This window comes from Homo sapiens, chromosome 2 (assembly GCF_000001405.40).
Source record: "Homo sapiens chromosome 2, GRCh38.p14 Primary Assembly".
NCBI classification, from domain to species: Eukaryota; Metazoa; Chordata; class Mammalia; order Primates; family Hominidae; genus Homo; species Homo sapiens.
Genome location: NC_000002.12, coordinates 82,331,845 through 82,341,049, shown reverse-complemented (window position 1 = coordinate 82,341,049; position 9,205 = coordinate 82,331,845). Strand labels below are relative to the sequence as shown.

The 9,205-nt window shown below is 32.9% G+C and overlaps 1 annotated feature.

Moving 5' to 3' along the window:
• Positions 258–458: a silencer, noted in NCBI's record as "peak3761 fragment used in MPRA reporter construct". NCBI's record gives its function as "represses an SCP1 promoter by STARR-seq MPRAs in K562 erythroleukemia cells {active_cell/tissue: K562}" and the evidence as "EXISTENCE:reporter gene assay evidence [ECO:0000049][PMID:32103011]".

Below are 9,205 nucleotides of genomic sequence, written 5' to 3'. Positions count from 1 at the left end.
TACTGAGTAGTGTCTGTGCTTTTAATGCCTCAGAGGAAAGCCGACATTGCCTTGGGCTGCACAGGCAGAGAGCTACAACTGAGAGCATGACAAATGTTGGGTTTGCTCTCCTCAGTGAAAGAGGAATAGAAAAACAGAAAAAATGTGCCCACAAACCCAAACAAGCAAAGGTTGACCTTTGTTCTTGTTTTCTTTCAGTAAGCAAGATTCAAAGCTGGTTACATATTTGTAATGAATCTAAAATTATGCTACAACTGGGATATGGGGTTCTACTTGCCCAGAAATAAATGTAAATAATGGTCGGGACTAGTGAAATCCCAGGAGAACCTGCAGAAGCTCAGCAGACACTCTCTGCACAGTGTTTGTAGAATGTGTTACATGCAATCCAACCACAGGATTGGGTGGAAGTTGGGTAGCCAGGGTGTTGAGGCAGTAGCACAACACTCCCTGAGGATGAAGTCATAGTGAAAACTTACAAACATTCAAACAATACAAAAAAGACATTCACATGAGGAATGGGCAGGAGAAACACAATACGATGAAGATCACTAAAACCTTCAGAAAAAAAATAGCTAAATATTGCATTTCTGAATATAAAAACAGAAAGTATACTTTAAATAATGTGAGAAACAAAAATTGAATTAAATAAATTTAAAAATGTATAAGAAATTCTTAAAAATCAGTAATCAGTGATGAAAATAATTAAATCGAATTTAAAAGAGAAGGAAAGTATCTTTGAAATTGAAACTCTTGGAGCGGAAAGAGTGAACTGGAAGATCTTAGGAAATATATCAGAAAACTTCTGCACATATGGATAAAGGAATATAAAAGAAATTAAAGTTTAAGAAGAAAAAAGTTTAAGAAATATAGAAGGCAGAATGAGAATACTCAAATTCCATATGATATTGAAATAACTGAAAAATCCTGAAGAGAAAATCACTGGAGAGATAATAGTAAAACATAACGAAGGCTGAGAAATTTCCAGAATTCACAAAAGGTGTGATGCACCAGGTTAAAAATAGTACGCTCAAGTTTGAGCATAAATAACAAAGATACATTCATAGCTATACATCACACTGAAACTGTAGAAGAAAAGTGAAAGTATAGGAGTATAGGGAAAGAAAATCACAAAACCAAGCAGAAAAAAAATGACCTAAGTTAATTGAGTGAGGCACAACCAAAGCACCATACTGATGGCAAATTCTTCATCAGCACCTATAAGCAAAATGAAGCAATAATATTGTCAAATTGCTGGGATAAAATATTTGTAAACCCTAGAATTATTAATACAAGTTCTCTATTAGAAGTTAAGAGCAAAATGAATTCATTATTGCATATAACTTAAAGCTGTAATATTATATTTTTTAATTTAAAAGTTAGCAAGGAGATTTTTTCTTATCTAGTTACATAATATGTTGAAATTTTCATTTCATTGTGATTAGGAACTATAAGCACTACACATTCTACTGCATAATGTTATCAATATTAGTGTCATCATTGTTTATAAGAAAATTTAATTTTTAGTGAAGTACCAAAAACAAACATGGTAGATTGAATTTATTTATACACATACACAAACTCATATGCATACACACATCTATGATATCAAAGCAACAGAACATATTATTCAGATTAATTATATTCTTATTTTCTTTGGTCTGTTTTATCCATGAAAATCTAAGAGAAGTGGATGAGCTGTATAAATACATCTTTTTTGTGTGTTAATATTCTGCATATGGGAATCAATGTTGCCAGATATATATACTCACATTCATTCTTTGGTGTTAATTTTATGACTATTTCCAATTTTTTACATCTATTAAGTAGAAAATGTGCATCAATCTTAAAAATGTATGTCATTGTTACATAATTTTATATCAAACAATTTTCAAATATTTAAGCTATTTTGTTTTCTTGGTAATTACCACATACTGCAAAACCACTTGTTTATACCACTGGTTCCTGACTTCTTTTTCAGTCTTAGACATTGTCCATTGAATTTTACTATGGCAGATCGATATTCAACTTTCTGATACTATCCCTCCCAGCCATACATGCAATTACCTTTCCAAAACTTATTTTTAGCTTATGTTTGTTTACTACATTTTTAGTGTTTATAAAATCATTAAAATATAAATGTTATTCAGAGATGAATAATCTGTTTACATTTTTAGTGGGTTTTTGTATATATCATTGTGGGATTGAATAGTTGCCTCATTTTTTGTTTTTGTTGCTTTTTTTTTTTTTTCTCCCCAAGACGAAGTTTCGCTCTTCTCACCCAGGCTGGAGTGCAATGGCACGATCTCGGCTCACTGTACCTCCTGCCGGGTTCAAGCAATTCTCCTGTCTCAGCCTCCCTAGTAGCTGAGATTACAGGTGTCTGCGACCATGCCCAGCTAATTTTTGTGTTTTTTAGTAGAGCTGGAAATTCACCATGTTGGCAAGGCTGGTCCTGAACTCCTGACCTCAGGTGATCCACCCTCCTCGGCCTCCCAAAGTGCTGAGATTACAGGCATGAGCCATAGCACCCGGCTGCCTCATTTTTTTTTATTAATTACTTTTATATGCATCTATCACTTCTCCATCCCTAAATTTTCCAACAGGAGTGTAGACTTTTAAGTGTCCTGGTTTGTTTGTTCGTTTGTTTGTTTGAGAGTGAAGTACTTTTTGGTTAGACTCTCTGAGGGTATTGATGGGTTTGTTCAGTAAGGAAATTCCGTGAAATAAAGTAGACTTGACTATTTTACTGGGAAAGCCTTCAAATGCCAGAATGTGGAGTTCTTTAGTCAGGTTGGAAAAGTAGCAGGTGCTTGACACTGTGGTGGAAAGACATACGGGGCACCAGTCTAATCCTTTTTTTTCCAGCCTTACTTTGAAAACAACTTTAGATGTCTGGTCCTCTCAATTCTTGAGCTCTCAGTTCCTTACTCTTGCTTTAGCATACAGACTGTTTGCTCCAATTTCTCTGGATTTCTGAAATATAATATTTCATATCCTTTCCGCTTTCCAATTTTAAAATACGTATCATGTTTTGTCAACTTTTTTTTGTTTTTGTAGGTGCTCACCTATTAAATTTTTTAATTTTCATATTATTGCCGTAGCAAGATTGAACGGGGCACATAGTTGTAGCCCAACTACCATATTTAACAAAAGAAAGCAATATTTATCCAGATAGAATTTTCCTCTTATTTACTTTTAAATTATGAATTCAACCTTTTCTAGTATCAACTTCATGTCCTTAATTTCTTTTGCTACACTCTATACCTGATATTCAGTATGTATTCCGTGCAAAAAGAAAAATACGTAATTGGATTTTTTTTAATCCATTTTGAGATTTTTTGTGTCATAACAAAAGGGTTTAAGCCATTTATATTAATTGTGGTACCCATAATTTTCCAGTTGTCTCTATTAAGTTTTCTTTACTGTTATAATGTCAGCCTATTATGTCTTTATTTTATTCCTTTTACTTTATATGTGAGCTATGTTTCTTACTGTTACCTTCTTTTTTATATATGTGGATATATTACATATGAATATAGAGTGTACCTATATCTCTATGTAAATGCATGCATATATAACATTTTATTTTGATTTTAAAGGCCTAATGGACATATATTTCTTAAAGTCCAGGGTATAGCAAAGTGTTTTATAATGACTTACTACAGATTATAAATTTATGATACATTTCCCTTTCTATTTTCTTCATCTATATCCAATTGTGAAAATAAAGTGCAGTTACTTTTTTGTATGTGTTATTTTTTATCTCTTTTGTGACAGAAATGTTTCCTCCAAAGTATATGTGTTAAATAAATCAATTTCTATTTAATCATATGAATACTTTTACAAACCTTACTTTCCTGTTTTTGGTTTAAGAAACAGCCAGGATTCGAAAAATAAATATAAATGTTCATTGCTTATTTTCTATAACACAAAATCCCTGATTTTTAGCTAACATTAATAATTTATTTTACCTGTAGATTTGTTCATGTAGTATTGCAAGGGGTACTTTTTAGGAACACTTCAATAGAGAACATCATTTTGAATCTTAAGTATCTTAGGATATTGCTCAGTTTTCTTTAGTTGTCAAAAACAAGATGATTCTGCTTTGTTATTCACTGTACCAGAGAAGTTAAAAGGAAAGATAGCTATGTTATTTAGATAGAATGTTCCCTCTTTATTTCTTTGACATTTTTCTGATTTATTTTTTAATTACATTTCAAGAGTTTATATTACTAAGGCTAGATTCAAGTCTCCTCTCCCTTATTTTAAATTTGTCCAGACATCTATGAGCTCACTCAACATACATACACAAACCTTTCTTCCAGTCAGGGAAATATACCTCTGTTGCTTCTTCTATGACTGCTTCAATTTAGAATATGTTGTACGTTTTTTCAATAACTAAATGATTTCTACACTGAATTACTATCTTTTTTCTCTCAGATATCTATGATTATTAATCTTCCCTTTGTTTTCATGTTTGCCCTGAACATTAATTACTTATGTCTATAGAGATTATAGAGTGAAGTCTTATGTGTAATTCATTTTCTCTAATACGTATTTTGATTTTGCTGTTATTTTCTTTTACTTTTCAAAATTGTTTTTATTCTATTCATGTTTTTACATAAGATGTTATTTTCATTTTTTTCTCTCAATATAACACTTTCTTATTTAGTGGAGTTTATATATTCTTGCCTGATATTGAAGAGAGTTTTTGAAAGTGTTAAAAAATTTTTAGAGCTTATGAAGTTATTTTTCCTTTATAGAAAGATAGTTTCTTTTGTTAGCTATATTTAATAATAAAGTCTTTTTTTTCTCTCATGACTTCTAATGAAAGAAGAGGATTTAAATTCTAAAATCAGGATGAAGAACATATGATATCAACATATCATCCCCAAAAGGTTACTTGGGACCCTTTGTAATATCTTCCTTCCACCTTATCAACCCTGACTCAAGAAATAGCTAATCTGCTTTTCATCTCTGTAGATTAGTTTGCATTTTCTAAAATTTTACATAAATAAAATCATACAGTATGTATTTATTTTTCATCTGAATTTTTAACTCAGGTTACTTTTTAAGCAACACCTGTGTTGTTGCATGTAATAATAGTGCATTAATTTTACAGTTGAGTATAATTCCATTATATGGCTATGAGAAGTCTAATTTCATGCTTTATGTTCAAGTATATGATTCATTTTAATTTAAATTTTGTATGTGGTACAAGATATATATAAAAGGCCATGTTTTGCCTATGAATATCCCATTTGTCTAGCACCATTTGTTGAAAAAAACAATCCTCTCTCCACTAAATTTTCTATATACCTTAGATAAAAATCAATTGACCATATTTGTGGGAGTCTTTTTCCAGACTTTCTATTCTATATATTGACATTTTTGCCTTTATACTAATATGACACGTCTTATTTTCTGCAACTTTAAAATGGACTTTTTAAATAAAGTTTTTTACCTTTTATAGACTAATATATTTTTAATTTAATCAAGCTAGAATTTATGTAATCTTCCTCTGTATATATTACTTTCCTGGAAAAGCATCTACTTCACCATGACTTTCACACATTTCAACCTAAAATCTATGAAAAATTTTAAGGTACTTGCTAAATTTGGCTAGAGCCAGATTTTCCAACATAATTATATCTGTTTTATTTATTTAATTTTCCTTGAATAACAAGTAAGATTTTTTTGGTATAATATTTGCTGACTTTTGCTATATTTTTCAGTTTGGTAGGTTTTGTTGTTTTTATCACTTTTATTACTGAATATCATTACATTCTAATTTTTACATTACATTACACTATTACATAATTACATTATATTATTACATTCAATAAACTTTATATTATTTTTATAACTTCTTGAATTGAGTATAAATAATTTTTTTTGAGATGGAATATTGCTCTGTTGCCCTGGCTGTAGTGCAGTGGCGTGATCCCGGCTCACTGCAACTTCAGCCTCCCGGGTTCAAGCAATTCTCCTGCCTCAGCCTCCCAAGTAGCTGGGATTGCAGGTGCGCACTACCATGCCCAGCTAATTTTTGTATTTTTAGTAGAGACGGAGTTTCTCCCTCTTGGTCAGGGTGGTCTTGAACTCCTGACCTCGTGATCCACCCACCTCGGCCTCCCAAAGTGCTGGTATATTTTTCTTATTACAAAATGAGATGTTTAAATTTTTACTCTAAGTGGAATATTAGCCTTTTTCTAAACATTTGACATAAGGCCCAAATAGGAACATGGTTTATTCTTTGATTATGGAGGAACTGCTTGGCCAAGTCTCTCTTTGTTGTTTCTGCTTTGTTCTAGTCTCCATGTCACATACCAGATGTGGATATGACAGATTTCTTGTAGCTGCTTGTCTAGATTCCACAGTAAGGAACTCATCATATTAGGAACATGCCAAGTTATGGAAAACACTATTGATAGGGATAGGAGGCAGAGAAATTCTAAGCAAAAAGGACAGGCCCCTGGAGAAGCCTCACCCTCAACCTGAAAAGCTTGAGACCACGGCCCAAAGTGAAACCTTACATACCTGTTTTCCCACTCCAATGCTGCCTTTTCCAAAACCACCCATGGCCTGCCCTGTTCCCCATACTGTACCTATAAAAACCCCAGACTCAGCAGAGAGGAGAAGCAGCTGGGTGTTAGAGACTACAGTGGACATCAGAGAGAAGCAGCTTGACTTCAGAGGGATGGCTTGACGGCATAACTTGAGAGAAGAATCCGGCTTGAGATGATTGAACTTCATGGGAAGATTACCTTCCCACCCTGGCCTTTTTAGCTCCCCTTCCCACTGAGAGCCACTTTCATCTGCAATAAAATCTCCCACATTTAATACACTTTGATTTGTTCCTGTGACCTCATTTCTCCTGGACATAGGACAAGAGCTTGGGAGCCACGAGTGCAAATACAAGAGGGCCCATTTAACTGTTAACACTTAAGCTGTCCATGGATGGCAGAGCTAAAAGAGCACTGTAACACACCCTCTGGGGGTTCAGGGGTCACGGGAACCACCCCACCCCCGGCCCCACCAAGGCACTGCTGCAGGGCCTGCACAGAGTTTTCTTTTGCTGGTGCCCAGAAGAATTCGCCCTGGCTCCTGCACCTGCTCACCTGTGTGCTTCCTCCCGAGAGGGGTAGAACACAGCAGGTCCCAGTGAGTGGAGTTTGCCCCTGCCAGCGCCGAAGTGGCCGGTTAGTTTCAGGGTTCATGCACTCCATTTCCCACCTTGTTCACTCTATTCTCCCACGGGGAGTTTAAAGCTGTGGGCTGGGTGAACGAGGCACCCTTGTTGAGAGTCCCATGAAGTGGTTAGGGAAATATCCTGCTTTATTATCACTGTGATTCTTTTTTATCTGTTTTGGCCTGGCGTGTCATTGAGCCTCTCAGCCTCGTGGTCCCTAGATTATTTCAGTAAGTTTTCTCTTGTGTACTTTGGCCCATTTAGTTTCTAGGCTTTTTTTCTGGAATTAAGAAAATGGTTTTTATGCCTAAATAAGATTTGTTCAATCTGTTTTCTTTATTTGGACATAATAGCCTTTTGTCTGAAGGGTTTTTTGAAAGAAACTTCAATGTGTTCATATATAGTTTCTAAACTTTAATGTGTTGCTTATGGAAAATGAATGTCACTCTTTTATATATAGCATCATTAATATAGATTTTTTTCTTGCTTTTATATTATTTGGTCATTTCAGTAGGTATCTTTCTATTTTGTTTTTAATTTACCAAGATCCTGATCAGTAGGTATCTTTCAATAGTTAAGTATCAAAATGTGTTTGCAACCCTTCCTCATTTTGAACTGCTTTTTTTGTTTGTTTTACAACAAAGAGGAGGTAAGCTGGCTTTTCATACCATTCAGTTCTTACATATAATTATTTAATATGCTGTTCATTTAATATTTTGTGTGAAATTTTTTTAAGGTTCTAAGAAGAATTATATGAACAATTTTTGATGAATTAGAAAAGAATTAACATCATTGCCACATTTAGGCTTCTTGCAAGGGATCAATATGTTATCCCACTTAGCATCTTCCATTTTGTCTCAGTCAAGTTTTGTAACTTGCATAATATAGGTTGATAATTATTTATTTTTACATTATTTTTAGACAATGTATTTTGTTGTTGTTATTTTTCCAGTTGCTCATCATAAACTTTTTAAATATATAACTCTTTAGAGAATCTAAAATTCAAGAGAAAAATAAAACTGAATTTTAAAAAATCAAGAGACGCTTTTATCATTTCTTACATCGTTTTCTTAGAATGGTATTATTGCAATTGAAAGTTTTTGCCACTGCTCAAACTAAACACTTATGTTCAGAAATACTTACAATGCCAAAAATTAACATTATTAAAAATACATTGTATTGATTTACAGTAAATATCCTAAGACATATGCAAGGAAATATCAATTCCTCATAGTTTAAATTTAAAACTTGAGCAGTGGCAAATGTCCTGTAAGAAGTGATCTAGGATCTTAGTCATATGGAGCATTTATGAACAAATATATTTTGGCAGAAGAGAAAATATAGAGCTTTCCATATAGTTTCAGTGATCAAATAGAATATAGGAGAATACAAGGAAACTTACATGAAAGACTATTTTGAATTACTATTATATAAATATTAATTGGTATACATGGAATAGGAAAGATTTTTATAGTGTTTTAAAAAAAGTAATTTAAAAAGAATAATTGGTTGCCATGAACAGAAATCCCCAAACAGAAAGTGTTCAACTGAGCCAGTTGTTATCATATCACTGATTTCTTCTTTCTCAAAGTTTATTTATTCTTATACAACTGAAATTTTGCAAGGGACATAATAGTCCTTTTATGAAACCTCTAAATGCTCAATGGATTTATTCTGTGAAACTACAGGGTAAGATTAGGAACCATTTTGTAGTTATTTAAATCCATTATTAAGTTTAAAAACAGGAAAGAACACAATTTTAAAATGATTAAGTCAGCAATGAAATTCTAGATACCTTGGAAAACACAAAAACAGAATTGAGATTCACAAGTTATAATGTTATTGAAGTAAATTCAGGTTGCACTATCTAGTTATATAAGCTACCATTCCGAAATATTTATTATGTACTAAACATTATAATAATCATTTTATGGACACTACTTCCTTTATCCCACACAACAACCCAATGTGACAGGTACTATTATCCCAAATTTACACAGATGGTAACTGGGA